Genomic DNA, 19,118 nt, shown 5'->3' with positions numbered 1-19,118 from the left:
GGCTGGAAACCAGGCATGGGACATATCTATTTTCTCTCCAACCTCCATGTCAGCACACACTGGGGACTGCTGCTTGCTAATTCACAAGGTTACCCTGATCAAACTGGAACCAGGGGTGGCGTTTTGATAAGACCGGCTTCAGGTAGGAACCCAGAGTTTCTAAGGGCTGGCACCATGAACCAGAAGCGAATCTAAAGCATGAGGTATACGAATAACCCAAGGATGTCACTGGCATTTAGATCAGCGTTTCTCAGTCTCTTTTTCATTATCAACATGCCCCTGAGCATTCTGAGAAATTAATAGCCCAACTCCACCCACCATGAGATTTTAATGCTGTGGCCCCTTAGAGACCACAAACCATTATAACGTCTAAGATTTTGTCACCACCCAAGAATGAATTTTCATCCCAATGGGGGTTATATTATTTCCTGTGTTGAGAACACAGGATTTAGCTCTACCCTCTTCCCCAAGTCCTTTGAAAACTAGCCAGGGGGCTCACTATTCCCAGAGGTTTCACTGATGTAAACATCTCTGGGGTCATCAGGATGGCATCTGCACAGTGAGCAGCTCTAGTTCTCCAAGTTTTCCTCTAGGGCAACTTGTGAGTTCATTTCAGGGAAATAAATATTCTTGAATTCGGCAGAATGGATTAAGTGTGGCGGAGGCACCATTCTAATAGCCCTGAACGACCTCAGCAGCTCCTGAAGCAACGTCTGTTTTTGAATTTTACTTAGGGCTAAGTATCAAGAAAGGCTCTGCCACTGTGTTTTCTCCTATTAACAATTAGCATGATGTAATTTACATGTTTTTCCTTTCAAGTTCACCTCCAGGGAGCTAACAGCCATATCTGCAGATGGATTCTGACACCAGATATAAGTGTATGATCTGAACATGTTCTGTGTTTGATCCTAATCTGTACCTCCGACTCTACACCGTGTTTTTCCTGGTCCTAATTATTTTCACTTTTCATTTCTATTTCATTCTTTTCTTAGAATTGCTTCCTATCACTGACTTCTAAGCCTCTGCACTGGGCCAGGGGAACAGGGAACAGCTTACCTGGGAGTGGGTGACCACTCTCTATCCGAATTAGGGTATGAGGCTGACTGAGGGTAAATCACAGCCAGGGAGAGGTTTTCCTCAGGAATATCATCTTGGAATGGAGGTATATCATTAGGAAGAGTTCTGGAGGAAAAAAAAAAAGATTAAAGTCAAAGAATTCTTAATGATAGATTCATAATCAAGTTCCAATTTTTTCTTGATTAGCTCTAAGTGCTTTGTAATTAACATGATCTCTTTAAACACCCAGATCTGTTCCAGGCAGTGGAGGGGGAAAAAGTGAGATACCGGCATCCATAAACGTGTCTATGTGCTAATGCTTTGGCCGAATTCTAATTGTAAAATGATTTTGTTTCAGCATTTGGACTCAGACACACATGCAGTGATCACACTGCTGGATCCTCCCATCGTGCCACCTCCTGCTACCCTACACGGTCATGTTCCAAAAGCCTGGGAGGTAGAGTGGCCCCAAACCGGCCCCAGGGCGGTATAAAACCCCTGCCAGGTACAGGCAGAACTGCTGAATAACTCAATGACCATACGCTGATCACATTTTGTCTAGCAGAAGAAATAAATGGCATCAACCAAACATGCCTTACGATTACAGAATAACTGCAAATGACCTCGTTTCAGGTATAAGCACACTCACTACTAAATACAATTCACAATTTCAATCATGCAGAGGCCATCTGTCTATATGTTGATGTTACCTGGAACACCTACCACTAAATTTTGTACTTAACAGCCATGCAGAGAAGGCAATTATAAGAAGCCCAATGACGCTGGTTCTAAGCCTGTCACAGGTTAGATAGAGGCTGTAGTTGGGAAAAGCAATATTCGTTGCCAGTTGACATTTATTTTTCACCACGAAAAAAGATATATTTTATTCCAAATAATGACACAGGAAGATACTCCTGATTCCCCTTATCCCTTCTTTATGTTAACAAAATTATCAAAAATTATACCGAATTATGTAAAAATCTGAAACATCAAATATCCTTCAAAATGAATTTTATCTTTTAAAACTGGCATTTTTCACCAAAATAGTAATACATACAAACAGAATTTCACCACACTGTTAAAAGCAAAGAAAAAGGAAACAAAATTTCCATTAAACTTTGGACCTAAGTCAAAATTAAAAAGGAAAAAGTTGGCTTATAGAGAAAACAGCATTTTCTTCATTCACTTTTAAGCCTGAAATCAGCCCTTGCCTATAAATCAGCCCAGTTGTGCATCGTTGGTGCTCAAATAAGAATAAATAGGTTCCAAGAAAATGGGTTTGGTCATGAACTATTAATTTGCTCAGTTCCTGTTTCTTGACTCCATTCCAGGCTGCTAAAGCGATCAGCCAAGGAGGTTTGGCATCACCAACTGTCTCTTGGCTACAGCACAGCAAATCTTTATACCACTCTAGGATTGGGTCCACATGATTCCAAAATTCAGCCTAAAATAGGGGTCCCCAACCCCTGGGGTCCATGCCCCTGTTAGAAACTGGGCCACATGGCAGGAGGTGAGCGGCGGGCAAGCTGGCAAAGCTTCATCTGTGTTTGCAGTCGCTCCCCATCCCTCACATTACCACCTAAGCTCCTCCTCCTGCCAGATGAGTGGCAGCATCAGATTCTCACAGGAGCACGAACCCTGTTGTGAACTGCACATGTGAGGGATCTGGGCTGCGCACTCCTTGTGAGAATCTAATGCCTGATGATCTGTCACCCATCACCCCCAAGATGGGACCGTCTAGTTGCAGGAAAACAAGCTCAGGGCTCCCACTGATTCTACATGATGGCGAGTTGTATAAGTATTTCATTATATATTACAATGTAATAGTAATGGAAATAAAGAGCACAATAAATGTAATATGCTTGAGTCCTCCTAAAACCATCCACCCCTGGTCCATGGAAACACTGTCTTCCACAAAACTGGTCCCTAGTGCCAAAAAGGTTGGGGACCACTGGTCTAAAACACATAAAAGAATAAGGAATTATGGGGGAAAAGTTCATAAAAATAATCTTGAACAGTTAACTGTCTGATTCTGGCACAGCCCCTCCACCCTGGACAGTTATTACCTGCTGCTCTCCAGCAGCTCCATGGCCTCATCCGAGCTCATCTCGATGGGGAACATGTCCTCATCCTCAGATGTGTTCATGTTGTCATCTCTCTTCAGGCTGTCCAGCTGTGACTTTCTCCTCCTTTTTCTTCTCTTCTTTACTACAGAGCTGCTTGACGGCGTCTCGCTGGGAGCGATCACTTGGGCTGGCGTGCTGGGGTCCAGGCCTCTCATCCTGTCCACAGAGCCCCTTTTCAGCTGGCATTCCATTCTCGAAGCTCCTTCTGACAGGATGGGGGAGGTGGCCAGGTGCATAGGGATAACTTCCTAAGAAAAGAACACATTTTCTAAAAAGAGCCTCGTTAATTCAGGTATAAGAAGCAGGGCCTTGCCAGAGGCCTCCAGGATTCACTTCAGAGGCCAAGCACCTCCTGGGGAGGGCCACAGCAGATGGCCCAGCTAGAGGCCACAGCCATGGTGACCTGGAGATGTGGCTGCCCAATCTGGTAGAAGATCAGAAAGCCAACAATGTATTGAATGCCACTTTGTACTCAATCCTGCATTTATGTAATTTTAACAATGGGAGGTAATTCTCAGTGATCTCAAGCCCCCAAAATTCAACTTTGGCTGTAATACCCAGAGCACAGAGGAAAAAAATGGGCTTTGACTCACCATATTATGCTGGGAATTGGATGCACTCTTGCACTTCTGTGTAGATGTGGGTGTGCATGGGTGGGTGTGAGAGAAAGACAGAGAATGTGTATTGTGTATTTTTTATATGCAATGAATTAAGATAATAACCATCTAAAAACCAAAAACACGTAAAACAACCGATAGCCCCGCCCAAGAACCTGCCTGCACCAGGGCCCAAGGAGGGCCCTGAACATCGAGGAAGTAGATACTGATCCTCTCCTTAAAGACAAAAGGAAAAAACACAACCTGTCCATTTAGTAGTTGTTTGTAATGATTCAGCAGTTTTTATAAAACTCTAGTAATCATTTTATTAATGAATGCCTCATTTTGTATGAGAAACTCGTTGACAATAAGAATATACATAAAACAGAGGGGATAAATAAACGTGTGCTGCTGATCATTCAAATAGGTTTGGAGAGCATCAGACATGCTGAAATAGAATGTCTACACCTGAGACACACAGCTGAGGCTGGAAGGGAGTGAGAGGTCATCTCACCCGGCTGCTGGACTGGAGCAACTAGAGAAGCAGCACAGATTCTCAGATCAAGAGCAGAGAAGGGCCCTTTGCTGTCCGTGGGCTGGAAGGGAATGGGCAGCCAGGCAGACCCCCACAGGCACATGCAGTACCAAGCAGTGCTGAAGGACACGGGCTCTCCAGCTTCCAGCAGCATCCCAGGGGTCCTAAGAGGCATCTGTATGGAGCTGAACATACTCTGGCCTCCAAGGCCCCACCCCACCCACAGGCACCCTGTCAGGCCAGCAAGACCAGCAAGCAGCCCCCATACAGGTCCCGCTGCACGCTGGCCCAAAATGCTTCCTCAGCTCCGATGGCCAAAAATCTATCTAAAGCCAGGTACAAATAGAAATTAAAAATGCAGGTGTCCACATGCAGTGCAAAGAGTTTCTGTCAAAGGCCATTAGGAACCAATTAGTATTTTTGGAGTCTTCCCATCTAAGAGAAGTGAAGAGCAGGTATGCAGGGATCCCCAGTATCAACAGGGTTGCTCCAGAACATGGAAGGGGAGATGCTGGGTCCTCCCCAGGCACCACCATTCTGGGCGGGCAGGATGGAGGCTGTGCCTGGGACTGTTCTGTCCCGAAGCTGCAATTATGGACACTTGCTTTAAAACCTGGAGCTATAAAGAACCGTTCCTTTTTAATCATAGCTGTCTTCCTGGAAAGGAACTAGTTCAAGTCGATTTCATTCAGGAATCCCTACATCAGACCCCTTTAAGGTGCTTCATCTGTGAACAAAAGAGTTAAGGAAGTGGTCTGTCTTAGTAGAAAACATAACCATAAATCATGACCTTGGATTTGGCAAAGGACTCTTTATGCATATGACACCAAAAGCATGCACAACAAAAGAAAAAACAGAATACATTAAAAAGGTAAACACAAACTTTAAAAAAAAAAATTAGACTTCATTAAAACTAAAAACTATTGTGCTGCAAAGAACACCATCAAGAAAGTGAAAAGAGAACCCACCCAATGGGAGAAAATATTTACAAATCATATACCCGATAAGGGACTTGTATCTAGAATATATAATGAAGGCATACAAGGCAGCAGTAAAAAAGAAAAACAACACACACATACACACACACACACAAACTAGCAAAGGATCTGAATAGACATTTCTCCAAAGATTCAGAAATGGCCAATAAGCACATAAAAAGATGTCAGATACCGCTGGTTATTAGGAAAATGCAAATCATAACCATAAAGAGATACCACTTCACACCCACTAGAATGACTAGAATCACAAAATCAGAAAAGTATTGGCAAAGATGTAGACAAATCACAACTCTTTGTGCACTGCTGGCAGGAATATAAAATGGAACAGCTGCTTTGTAACACAGTCTGGCAGTTCCTCAAATGTTAAATGTAAAGTTACCACATGGCCCAGCAATGCCATTCCTAGGTATGTAACCAAGAAAAATCAAACACACGTGTCCACACAAAAACTTGTATACAAATGTTCACAGCCATGTTGTTTACAACGGCTACAAGGTGGAAACAACCCAAGTTGGTTTTTTTTGGGTTTTTTTGGTTTCTTTTTTTTTGTTTTTTGAGACAGAGCCTCGCTCTGACACCCAGGCTGGAGTGCAGTGGCGCGATCTCGGCTCACTGCAAGCTCCGCCTCCCGGGTTCACGCCATTCTCCTGCCTCAGTCTCCGGAGTAGCTGGGACTACAGGCACCCGCCACCACGCCCAGCTAATTTTTTGTATTTTTAGTAGGGATGGGGTTTCACCGTCTTAGCCAGGATGGTCTCTATCTCCTGACCTCGTGATCCGCCCACCTCGACCTCCCAAAGTGCTGGGATTACAGGCGTGAGCCACCATGCCCAGCCCCAAGTTGTTTGTAATGATGAATAGAACAGATGAATGGACATGGTCTATAGATACAATGGAATACTATTCGGCCATAAAAAGGAATAAAATATTGATACATACTAAAACCTGGATGAACCTTGAAACATTAGTCAAAAAAAAACAGGCACAAAAGACCAGATACTGTAATTCCATTCAAAAGTTCAGAATAAGGAAATCTATAGAGATAGGAAGGTTAGTGGTAACTTAGGGCTCAGCAGTTGGAAGGTGGAGTATAGGGGAGGCGATACCTAAAGGGTATGGTGTTTCTTTTGGGGTTGATGAAAAGGTTCTAAATTTGACTGTGGTGATAGTTGCACCTATCTGTAAATATACTAAAACCACTACGTGTACACTTGAAATGGGTAAATTGTGTATATGTGATGTATATCTCAATAAAGCTTTTAAAATATTTTTTAAAGTAATTCAGCCACTCACTAAATAAAAGAACATTGGGCATTTGAGATTTGACACACCGATGTAATCTATACACCTCTGACAGTGGTCCAGGCCCATGTGTGAAGTCCATCCCTCTGTCTCCTGGGAAGCAGTCAGCAAACTGAAGCCAGCCAGGAGAGCTGAGTCTGTGTGGACTCAGCACACCCCTAGGCCGTCTGGCTCAAATCCCCCACACAGATCAACGCCCACTTTTCTCTGCCCCATCGTCCACACAGCCACGGCCGGTATTACTTTGCACAAACTTCTGCCGTGTTTCCAGATAACCATTACTCAAAGCTCAAAACTAGGAAGTAACCCTGACCACCCAGGCTTCCTTACCTGATCATTATCTGTTTCTTGAACAAAAAATGCTTCTCCATTATCTCCCAATTTCATATGCAAATCCACAGATTCCCCATTGATTTCTATGTCAACCTGAAGGGAAAACATGGTTAAGAAAAGAATGAACTGCCTTCACCAGGACAGGAGACCTCATGGGGACGGCCAAGTCTCCACAGATACGCTATCATCGCATACACCCTGAAGTGCCACACAACTCCCAGTCTCAGTCAGGCCGTCCCATCCAAGGGAACTGTCACTTGAGGACTGGAGGAGTTCTGGGTTCGGGAGGGCAGGTCCCTGACCAGGAAAGATGGAACCCAAAACAGTACGTTGGTGCAAAAATAACTGCAGTTTTGGCCATTATTATAATTATTAAAAATAATGGCAAAAACTGCAATTATTTTTGCAGCAAGCTAATAGAAAGATTCCTCCGAGACCACCTGGTCTAGCTCCTCCTTTTTTGGCTGAGGAGCTGAGGCCAGACAAGAGGAGTAACCAGCCCAGGGTCACATGGCTGGTGAGAGTTCAAGCTGCAATCAAAGCTTCCCCAGCCCCAGACATTAGAAATTACACCCTGGAAAACTCATCAACTATTGGCTGGGATCCTTCACACATACTCAAGGAAGAGTTTCCTCTTGAACTTAACTCAAAGGACCAATCAGGAGACATCATCCCAAAATCCACATTAGGTGGGGGCATGAAATGTCTATTTGCAAGGATTTGTTTCTTTCCATTTGTGTGGCAGATTGTCTTCTAAAACTAGCCACATCAATATCCTGGTCCTACCTGCTCTTCCAGAACCTTCGCCACTCCTGAAAATAAACTAGAAATAAAATTCTAAGCTCGCAACTGACTGAACGGACCCCCTCTGGGACAAGGAGATGCCAGAGAAACCTTAAGAACTGAGTTCCAGGCCATGATGGAATGGGAGATAGGACAGGCTTCCTCATACCCCACCTCAGTAACCACCATTACGCTTTCCTCCCTAAGGGCCAAACAGAAACCAGCCCTTTCAAAAGACTGTGCACTGGTATCAACAAAAGAAGCTGCTCTGCGTTTTTGTTTGTTTGTTTGTTTGTTTGTTTGTGTTTGTTTTTTGCCTGATAAGAGCCCAGGAACTGGTCCTGGCCCACCTAGGGAGAATGTGCCCTGAGGGTTTTCCCTTCCTCTGCTCCACCCTTTGATGTTAGACACCAGAAAACTCCACCCTTGGCTGGTGCTAGTGCCATCACGTTTTGAACATGGGTCCCATGGACAGGCAGAAGCTCAGTTGCACGTGTGCATGTTTTCCTCTCCTGAACACTCACGACCTCTCCTGTGGCTTATTAAATATGTAGATTCTGTGACCCCAGACAGCACAAATCCCTGGTCTCTTTGCCCCTTCCTCAAAGTGTCTGTTTCTGCTTCTGGCAGGAGGCTACACTTCCCAGCCTGTCAGAATTGGCCACCCTGCAGGCAGCAACCTAGTTCTCCTCTCCAAATTTATGAACTTTATCCTTCTTCCATTGACACCACCAAGAAAAGCCTATTTCTCCTCCCCTTGAGCCCAGGCAGCTTGTGATGGCCCCAACCAGTAGAGCACAGCAGACGTGACGCCATGTGGCTTGCAAGGCTAGGCCATAAGCTCCAGCATCTGCCTGTCTTCCTCCCTCTCAAGATGCTCACCTCACCACTGCCACTGTGTTGTGGGGTGCCCTGGCCACGTGGAGAGGCCATGGGTAGTTGGTATGACCAAAGCCTCAGCGAAGAGCCCAGCCAAGAGCCAGAATCAACCACCAGTCACAAAGAACGTGAGTGTTCAGATGATTCCAGCCCTCAGCCTTTGAGCTTTCCAGCTGAGGCCCCAGAGAGCAGAGACAAACCACCCCACTGTGCTCTGCCTAAATTCCTGACCCACAGATACAGGAGCTTAATAAACAGTGGTGTGTGCCACGGCACTTTAATTTACACAGCCATACTAACTAGAATAATTTCAATTAGTCACTGTCAGTTCCGTGACTGGCCATTTCCAACGAAGACCTAAAACTCTGGGTCTGAGAGTTCAAGACAGGTGGCATCACCAGAGTACAAGGGCATTCTCTAAGGAGAGCCGGTGCCAGGTCCCCGTGCCCTGAGAGCTCACCACTTTCTCTCGGGAGCGCAGGACCCCCATCTTCCCAAAGCGGACGTGGAAAGGGGAGCATTGGAGGTTTCCATTGGGCTGGCGGATGACAATGATGTCAATGCACCCTGAGAGTGTGGCGGGATTCAGCCCCTTGTAGAGCTCCTTCACGGTGACAAACACCTGGCCGGCTAACTGCCCCACGTAATTCATGGTCTGCACCTGGAAAACAGACAAAAAAAAACACACACAGACACACAATTAATCCAAGGAAGAGCCAATCAAAATGAACTCCTCACCATTTCAAAAACGTGGATTACACACTCAACTTTCAGCTCCTCTCATTTCCGGAATGTGTTCTATCCACCCCCATAGCCCATCAGGGTCCATCAGGGCCCATCAGGGCCCATCACGGCCCATCAGTGTCCATCATGGCCCATCAGGGTCCATCACGGCCCATCACAGCCCATCAGGGTCCATCACGGCCCATCAGGGTCCATCAGGGTCCATCAGGGCCCATCATGGCCCATCAGTGTCCATCATGGCCCATCACGGACCATCACAGCCCATCAGGGTCCATCACGGCCCGTTACGGCCCATCACGGTCCATCATGGCCCATTACGGCCCATCAGTGTCCACCATGGCCCATCATGGACCATCAGAGCCCACCAGGGTCCATCACAGCCCATCACGGCCCATCAGGATCCATCACAGCCCATCATGGCCCATCACGGCCTATCACCCCAACTCCCACAGCAAGCCCACCAGTCTCCACTCTCCCAGAGTCCAGCACAGAGAGCCTTGACCCCATGATGTCTAATCTCAGTTGTCCCCAGGCCCTGTCTCCTCTGCAGTCCCATGAAGCTTTTTTATATTGTCCTTAGGACCACTGCCACCTGCCCCTTCTTCTGTCATGATGGACAGGTTTTGCACACTAAATCTCAAGACTGTAGAGGAAAGAGACTATTTCATACAGCGTAGGATCCCCCATCGTGCCAATCATAGTAGCTACTTGATATTAGTTGAAAAACAAATGACTGCTTTTACTGGAGAAGGGAAATGAATGATTTTTGTTTGTGACAATTTCCATGTGGCCTTTGCCTGCCTGTCTGACTTCTCTCCACTGCTCCAGGGAACACCAGCGCTCTGGGCTGCTGGCCAGCTGTCAACTGCAATCCACTTAGCAAACATTCAGGCCATCTCTCCTCTACAGGGCCTGGGGCCACACCAGAGATAAAGAAGAAAGTCCTGTCCCCTGGAGAGACTCACAGGCTCGTGAAGGAAACACAGGTAATATACAAGGAACTAGCGGGGCATAGTAGCTCATGCCTATAATCCCAGCACTTTGGGAGAATGAGACAGGTGCATGGCTTGAGCCCAGGAGTTCGAGATCAGCCTGAACAACACGGCATAATCCCATCTCTACTAAAAACACAAAAATTAGCTGTGCGTGGTGGTACATACCTGTAGTCCCAGCTACTTGGGAGGCTGAGGTGGGAAGATCACTTGAACCCAGGAGGTGGAGGCTGCAGTGAGCTGAGATCGTGCCACTGCACTCCAGCCACGGAGCGCAAGACCATATATATGACATATATAAATGCATGTCAGCAACACTTACATATATTTTAGTCGTTGTGTGTGTGTGTGTGTATATATATATATATATATATATATACACACACACACACACACACACACATTTGAAGATAGGATCTTGCTCTGGCTGGACAAAAGACCCTATCTCCAAATATATATATATATATATACACACACACACACACACACACACTAAAATATATGTCAGTGTCACCGAATTTGTTTTAAGTAAACACTAAGGGAGTTATGATCAAGGAAAGAAGGTGCATCAGAGGAGCTGGCGCTGGAGGCGGGCTTGGAGGACAGGGACACCCTCAGATGTCAGACGACAAGGTGGACAGGGTACAACGAGAGGTCCATGCAGAAGCATGGAAGCTTAAAACCACCAGACTGGAAGAGGGAGCTGCACCCAGAACACAGAATGTGCACTAGGGAAGAATGGAGAGTGCGAAACCGTGCCAGGAGATGCGGGCTCTGCTGTGTGAAGCCATCGGATTCTGGAACAAAATGACACTTTGATCCAAGATTTAGAAAAAGCATCACCGTAACAATGTAAAGACTGGCAAGAAAAAAACCTGACGGCAGGAAGACTAGGAGAGAAACGATTCCTTCCCCGCCTGGAAAGGAGGTAGGGACAGACGAAAAAGAGGGAAAGGGACAGGCCAAGAGATATTCTGGGTTCAAGCAGCTGGACTGCGAGCTGCCGCCGTGTTATGCCCTTCTTTTCGTAGCTCTGGATCCCTGACCACCTGGTGCAGTCCACACCTGCCCACATCACTGTCCACTCTGCCCGGCTCTCCGCTCCCAGCCTTCTGCCGTCACTGTGCCCTGCTGTGCTAACCGGCGGTCGTGACTGGCCCATGGCACTCACATCTTATCCCTGGACTGGGTCATGGCAGGCGGGAGTCCTCCAGCCCTCCTCTCTCCACTCCTTGCTGGGCTTCATGGGGTCATGCCATCAACCCTCCTCAGGCCCTTCAGGGACGTGGCACCTCTCAGTGGCCGTCCAGTCTCTGGAGCCTCTTCTTTTCCAGCTCTGACTTATACTCCAGGGCTGAGTCCTAGACTCTCTTCTCCTCTCCCGTTTATTCACCTGATGGTTTGGCGGACTCGTGAAGCCACGTGGTTGCAAATACTGCCCAAACAGGAAGGATTTGCATGACGTAACTTCCAGTCCACCCCGAGACTTCACCCCTCCTCCTGGTCCACACTGCTCCCATTCTTCAAGGCAACTATCCCAGGACACATGTGACCACACTGACAAAACCCCCACCTCAGGTCACCTACAGACTCCAGGAAACACCACGTGTGTGAACCTGTGGCTCACAAACCTGCTGTGTAGAAAGGTTGGTTCTGGGAGCTTTTCCTATCATTCAGTGGCGCTGTGATATTATGATGTAATAGGAAATATATATTTTGGTCTTCATCCCCAGATCCAAGCCAGAACTCCTAAACCCCTTATAATTTCTAAGTGATCAGAGTGATAGGAATGTCTTTTGTTATGATATTTCATTTTCCTCCCCTGCTCCTGAAATAGCTCCTTAGCTCCAGAGCAATAAAGGTGAAAGGAGTGTCTTCTGTCATTCATGATAAGCCCTCTTCACCCACACCAAAGTTTAATCAGAGGACTCTCGGAGGATGGGGGCTGGACCACAGCTGCCAGAGGAACAAATCTGTAATGAGAGTTGGTGCCTTCAGCCACTCCCCACCCACCCACCACCCCACCCCCAACCTCCAGGGAGGGAGAGGGGAGGGAGATTAAGTGTAATCAATGGCCGATGAGTTAATCAATCTCGCCTTTGTAATAAAGCCTCCATAGAACCCGAAAGAAAGGGGCTCAGAGAACTTCCAGGTTGGTGAACGCGTGGCAGTGCTGGGAGGCTGGGGTGCTAGAGAGGGCATGGAAGCACCACCGCCGCCTCCACCGCCTTGCCCTGTGCACCCTTCCATCTGGCTACTCCGGAGTTGCATCCTTTATAATAAACCAGTGACAATCAGTAAACTGTTTCCCTGAGTTCCGTGAGCCGATCCACAAAGGAATGAACGCGAGGAGGGGGTCATGGGAACCCCCGATTTATAGCCAGTCAAGCAGAAGCACAGGAGGCCCAGACTGTGACTGGCATCTGAAGTGAGGGACAGCTTGTGGGAACGAGCCCTTAACCTGTGGAATCTGATACTAACTCCAGGTAGATGGTGTCAGAATTGAATTGAATTATAGGCACCCAGTTGGTGTGCTCCGAGAGCTGGAGAACTGCTTGGCGTGCAAGAGACACACACACGTTTGGTGTCAGAAGCGTGTATGAGAGTAGAGGAAATTGTATGGTTTGTTTGTTCTTTTATAAGCTACATTCTTAAGGCCAAGGATAAAGCCTTGGTCTTTCAAGTTAAAAAAACAAAATATACCTTTTGTAAATCTTACCTCAACCCCTATGAAATAAGCAAAAGTGAGATCAGCACACCCATTTGCAAATGAGGCTCAAGAGTGGTCAAATCCCCTGCATGCAGGGGCTGGTAAGAACTGCGGATTTAATTCTAATTTAGAACAGGCCAGAGAACCAGAAGTCATGAATGATACCTACAAAGAATGCAAGAAGCCCTCCCAGGTTCATTTTACAATTTTAAATGAAGCTCTCTGTACTGATACACCTCCTCTCTCAACCGAGGAAACAAGCCCAGCCCTTAGTAAACACACTCAAGGAGGAACACACATCTGCCTTCCTTTTCACCTGGGAGTAAACACCAGAGCCCAGCTCCCCCTTGATCTGTCCTGCTAATACATCACATATATATAAACATCAAAACACACATTTTTCTAAGTTTACAAGTGGTGCAGGTTTAACTTCATGCAAAAAAGGTGCAGTGGGATGGTTCCTGAAAAGATGTACAATATAAGAAATGATTCTTTGTAACCCTAATACTTCTTATTCCTTCCACGTTGAACTTAGATTTTAACGTGTGTTTGGTAAGAGAGGTAACCCTCTAACTCTAAAACTACGTGCAAGCAGTATTAATAACATCTTTGTACAATTTCTTTCATATACGTTATCTCATGCTGACTGTCACAAAACCCTGTAGGAATGCAGCCTTTCAGATGGTAAAACCAGAAGACAGCCAAAGTGCAATGAAGATCACAGGGCTGGTGAAGAGGGGCTCTCTGGATTGACACGCCCCATTTCACCAAACTGGAACCCAGGTCTTTGGATTTTGAAGTGACCTCTCTTTCGGTTCTGTGAAGCTCCTTCTCATGTCCCCCCCATCTCTTTGCCTTCATCACCCTTGCACGTGAGCTATGTTTGTCACCGAATGATGAGACCACCTCCCCAGCAGTGAGGCCCCAACCCCAGGCCAGCACATCTACGAACTACTGTTGGTATTTTTTTACTCACAAGAAAAAGAAAGCGAGAGACATAAGGGCAGCATTAACAGAAACCTCCCCCTCCCCCTCCCCATGGTCTCCCTCTCCCCACCGTCTCCCTGTCCCTCTTTCCACGGTCTCCCTCTGATGCCGAGCCGAAGCTGGACTGCACTGCCGCCATCTCGGCTCACTGCAACCTCCCTGCCTGATTCTCCTGCCTCAACCTGCCGAGTGCCTGCGATTGCAGGCGTGCGCCGCCACGCCTGACTGGTTTTCGTATTTTTTGGTGGAGACGGGGTTTCACTGTGTTGGCCGGGCTGGTCTCCAGCTCCTAATCGGGAGTGATCTGCCAGCCTCGGCCTCCTGAGGTGCCGGGATTGCAGATGGAGTCTCGTTCACTCAGTGCTCAATGTTGCCCAGGCTGGAGTGCAGTGACGTGATCTCGGCTCGCTACAACCTCCACCTCCCAGCCGCCTGCCTTGGCCTCCCAAAGTGCCGAGATTGCAGCCTCTGCCCGGCTGCCACCCCATCTGGGAAGTGAGGAGCATCTCTGCCTGGCCGCCCATCGTCTGGGATGTGAGGAGCCCCTCTGCCCGGCTGCCCCCAGTCTGGGAAGTGAGGAGTGCCTCTTCCCGGCCGCCATCCCGTCTAGGAAGTGAGGAGCATCTCTGCCCGGCCGCCCATCGTCTGAGATGTGGGGAGCGCCTCTGCCCCGCCGCCCCGTCTGGGATGTGAGGAGCGCCTCTGCCCGGCCGCGACCCCGTCTGGGAGGTGAGGAGCGTCTCTGCCCGGCCGCCCCGTCTGAGAAGTGAGGAGCCCCTCCGCCCGGCAGCCACCCCGTCTGAGAAGTGAGGAGCCCCTCCGCCCGGCAGCCGCCCCGTCTGGGAAGTGAGGAGCGTCTCCGCCCGGCAGCCACCCCGTCCGGGAGGGAGGTGGGGGGCAGCCCCCGCCCGGCCAGCCGCCCCGTCCGGGAGGGAGGTGGGGGGTCAGCCCCCGCCCGGCCAGCCGCCCCGTCCGGGAGGGAGGTGGGGGGCGCCTCTGCCCAGCCGCCCCTTCTGGGAAGTGAGGAGCCCCTCTGCCCGGCCGCCACCCCGTCTGGGAGGTGTACCCAACAGCTCATTGAGAACGGGCCATGATGACAATGGCGGTTTTGTCGAATAGAAAAGGGGGAAATGTGGGGAAAAGATAGAGAAATCAGATGGTTGCTGTGTCTGTGTAGAAAGAAGTAGACATAGGAGACTCCATTTTGTTCTGTACTAAGAAAAATTCTTCTGCCTTGGGATGCTGTTGATCTATGACCTTACCCCCAACCCGGTGCTCCATGAAACATGTGCTGTGTCCACTCAGGGTTAAATGGATTAAGGGCGGTGCAAGATGTGCTTTGTTAAACAGATGCTTGAAGGCAGCAGGCTCGTTAAGAGTCATCACCACTCCCTAATCTCAAGTACCCAGGGACACAAACACTGCGGAAGGCCCCAGGGTCCTCTGCCTAGGAAAACCAGAGACCTTTGTTCACTTGTTTATCTGCTGACCTTCCCTCCACTGTTGTCCTATGACCCTGCCAAATCCCCCTCTGCAAGAAACACCCAAGAATGAGAAAGAAAGAAAGAAAAGAAAGAAAGAAAGAAAGAAAGAAAGAAAGAAAGAAAGAAAGAAAGAAAGAAAGAAAAGAAAGAAAGCAAGCTAGCTAGCTCATAACTGGATAGCATTACCACATCTCTGCATCCTAGCCTCTCCTCTGTAAAGGGGGCGCATTGGCCTGAGTGACCTGCAAGGTCTAATTCCAGCTCTATCCGTTCCAAGACAAAGGCTCCACTCCTTAGTTCTTAGCAACTGAAGAAGCATCTTTAATAACTGAATCGTTGCTCTGCTCTCTTGTTCTCAACTAAGGGATCCTTAGTTGTTGTTCCAACAACCTCATTTTTTAAAAGTAAGCCCAGAAACAGGAAGTGACTTAGCGAAGCTCCCCCCATGGCAAAGACAGAGCCAAGACTACAGTTTCTTCTGTGACCTTCCCACTGGATTGGTCTGGAGTATTTTCCTACCGCAAAGAATCAGAAGGTGCTTTGATATCAGCTGTGGCTTTAGCTTAGATTAGTGGTGCTTTGATATCTTTAGCTGTCCCCTCTATTGAATAACTTCTTTGCAAATCTGAAAATACCTGGATTTGAAAGCAGGAAATCTTCTCAATAATTCTCAACAAGTGACAGGGTCATGGGCTCCACCTGGCAGTCTTTTGTCTGTTCCTAGGAACTCAACATCTACACCCTGGGCCTGCCTTAAACTAAGCACTGAAAGTTTTTAAAAGGGTGAATACCACCACCTCACATCTATTAAGATGGCTACTATTTAAGAAAAAAAAAGACAGAATATAACAAGTGTTGGCAAGGATATGGAGAAACTGGAACTCTTGTCCACTGTTGGCGGGAATGTAAAATGTGGAGCCACTTCAGAAAATAGTCTGAATTCCTCAAAAAAATAAAAATAAAATTAGCTTATGATCCAGCCATTCCAGTCCCGGGTATATATCAAAAAAAAAAACTGAAAGCAGGTCTCGAAAAGATATTGGCACACCCATGGTCGTGGCAGCATTATTCATAATAGCCAAAAGGAGGCAGCAACTCCAGTGTGACAGATGAATGGAAAAGCAAAATGCGGTCCATCCATATCATGGACTATTACTGAGCCTTAAAAAGAAAGGAAATTCTGATACATGCTACTGTGTAGATGAACCTTGAGGACAGTAGGCTAAATGAAATAGGCCAGTCACAAAAGGACAAATGCTGTATGACTCTACTTACATGAGCTACCTTAGACAGACAAACTCATAGAAACAGAAAGACTGATTACCAGGGGCTAGGGAGAAGCGGAAAATAGGGAGTCAGTGTGTGTTTAATGGGTACAGGGTTTCCATTTTGCCACTGAACCACACACTTAAAGATGGTTAAAATGGCAAATTTTATGTTATATGTATTTTATCACAATTAACTTTTTTTTTTTAAGAATTGGGGAGAGAGAAAATTGTATTAACCAGAACTCATTTCAGGAAGCCAGGATACTATTTGGTTAAACAATTTCTTTGAAAGAGAGCTTGGGGTGGAGGGGGCAATCCCTCCCCCAGGAGGCACGGGAGGGACCATGCCCTTTAAGGGACCGGGGTGGGCCCAGTCACCCCAGGCACCTGTTGCCTGGAGGGGTGCAGGCAGGTTAGAGGCAGCCAGGCTCTTCTTTCTCTGCCCTTCCTCCAAGCTCTCTTTGAAATAAATCTAGCACATATGTTTAAAGAATACAAGAATAAACCAGCTGGGCATAAATTCCCAAATTTTACTCTCAGTTATGTTTCGAGTAAAAGGCTGGAGGAAGAAGCTAATTTACCTGAAGAAGTCAGACAAACCCAGCCAATCAACCCACCTCCCCATACCTGCCCATTAATCTCATGACTGTCTTTGGTGTCAGTTTCCTGCTGTCTGCTAAAACACGTGATCAAGCAGTGAGGGGAATATCTGCTTTAAAGAAGAAAGTATCTTAATTACCTCAAGGGTGACAAACGATAAACAAAACCTGCAGAGGACCAAATGGAAGGCTTCAATTTCCAGTGGAACGGCTTTCAGATGCCTGCTATTCACTCACCCCATACCAAATTCCTTTCAAACCTACTGACTTTAATCTCAAAATTTGGCAAGAAATAGCAGCTTCACCTCACGGGATTTTATTTACCACTTGAAACAGGACTCTACAACCCCTAGTTCAAATGTTTTTGATGGAAAACTCAGCCAAATCTTACAAATATCCTTTGGCAAGACTGGGTTTCTCTAACTGTGGATTTTCAGAAAAGCTCTAAGGTTAAGAAACATGTAAGTTTTTTCAATGTGACATCGTCTAGCTTGACCTTCTGAAATAATACAAATTTTCTGAGGTTATTACATCCCACTGGAATACCATCTTTCCAGATACCTCTGGGTTAGAAACTGTTTTATGTTAGAACCAAACAGATAATACACCAAAGAACATAAAAATCTACAAGCGTATTCCACTTAGAATTCTACCTATGACATTAATAATAAATAGCATACTCAACTCGAACAGCATCGATTATTAAAAATAAATATAGGGGCCGGGCACTCACGCCTATAATGCCAGCACTTTGGTAGGCCAAGGAGGGCGGATCACCTGAGGTCAGGAATTCGAGACCAGCCTGGCCAACATGGTCAGGCTCTCTACAAAATACCCCATCTCTACAGAAATACAAAAATTAGCATGATGGTGAGTGCCTGTAATCCCAGCTACTCGAGAGGCTGAGGCAGGAGAATTGCTTGAACCCAGGAGGCAGAGGTTGCAATGGGCTGAGATCACGTCATTGTACTCCAGCCTGGGCGACAGAGTGAGACTCCATCTCAAAAAAATATAAAATAAATAAATAAATAAAGGGATTTGAATTATTTTAGTCCACGCCTCTTAATGGACAATTCAGGAATCTGCTGTTCCACTCATTTATTATGCAAGTAAATAACAATGATTTTAATTCCCTTTCTAGTTCCTTCAACTAGAACATTACCTAAGGCACGTTATCTGGGACATAACAGTGGGTCCATTTTCACATTGTGGGTTTGCTCCTTGGAAATGAAATGATGTCATGGTAAGCAACATCTAATTATATATAAGACTGGCCGAGCAAATGCAAATGCAAAACTGTCTCAATAAATGTACTCTTACAATCCCCGTTTTTGTTCATCTTTCTCACTTGTACTTTTCTTCCTACTCTCCTTTCTTTAAGAACTAAGTGGCCAGGCGTGGTGGCTTATGCCTGTGATCCCAGCACTTTGGGAGGCCAAGGCGGGCAGATCATGAGGTCAGGAGACCGAGATCATCCTGGCTAACACGGTGAAACCACGTCTCTACTAAAAATACAAAAAATAAGCCAGGCACAGTGGCACGCACCTGTAGTCCCAGCTACTCAGGAGGCTGAGGCAGGAGAGTCGCTTGAACCCAGGAGGCGCAGCTTGCAGTGAGCCGAGACGGCGCCACTGAACTCCAGCTTGGGCGACAGAGCGAGACTCTGTCTCAAAAAAAAAAAAAAAAGAACTAAGTGTCTTGCAGGAGTTGAACAATAATTACCCCT

The 19,118-nt window shown here is 46.9% G+C and overlaps 1 protein-coding gene and 1 non-coding gene across 15 annotated transcripts in view, besides 1 other annotated feature; both read right to left on the bottom strand.

Annotated features, from left to right (window-relative positions):
• Positions 1–19,118, bottom strand: part of LPIN1 (lipin 1) — a 149,866-nt gene that overhangs the window by 52,608 nt on the left and 78,140 nt on the right. For 9 of the 14 annotated variants that reach the window (NR_146080.2, NM_001261428.3, NM_001349208.2 and 6 more), the window contains 4 exons: positions 9,069–9,269; positions 6,944–7,039; positions 3,123–3,430; positions 1,057–1,182 (listed from right to left, as the gene is read on the bottom strand). Coding sequence is in view for 13 of the 14 variants with exons in the window: in NM_001261428.3 (NP_001248357.1) it covers positions 1,057–1,182; positions 3,123–3,430; positions 6,944–7,039; positions 9,069–9,269 (731 nt within the window). In the remaining variant the exon portion in view is untranslated. Of the gene's footprint in view, positions 1–1,056; positions 1,183–3,122; positions 3,431–6,943; positions 7,040–9,068; positions 9,270–11,515; positions 11,780–18,937; positions 19,056–19,118 lie in introns of all 14 variants that reach the window. The other 5 variants (NM_001349204.2, NM_001349202.2, NM_001349200.2 and 2 more) reach the window with 2 other exon arrangements.
• On the bottom strand, positions 7,277–7,358 carry MIR548S (microRNA 548s). Its single transcript, NR_036071.1, has one exon. It is a non-coding gene; the product is annotated as a microRNA 548s (primary transcript).
• Positions 14,129–14,641: an enhancer, noted in NCBI's record as "H3K27ac hESC enhancer chr2:11900287-11900799 (GRCh37/hg19 assembly coordinates)". NCBI's record gives its function as "activates a minimal SCP1, AML or CMV promoter by ChIP-STARR-seq in naive H9 embryonic stem cells {active_cell/tissue: H9 hESC(naive)}" and the evidence as "EXISTENCE:reporter gene assay evidence [ECO:0000049][PMID:30033119]".

This window comes from Homo sapiens, chromosome 2 (genome assembly GCF_000001405.40).
Source record: "Homo sapiens chromosome 2, GRCh38.p14 Primary Assembly".
Classification (NCBI taxonomy): Eukaryota; Metazoa; Chordata; class Mammalia; order Primates; family Hominidae; genus Homo; species Homo sapiens.
Note: the sequence above shows the minus strand (reverse complement) of the source record. Positions and strands in the feature narration are given on the sequence as shown.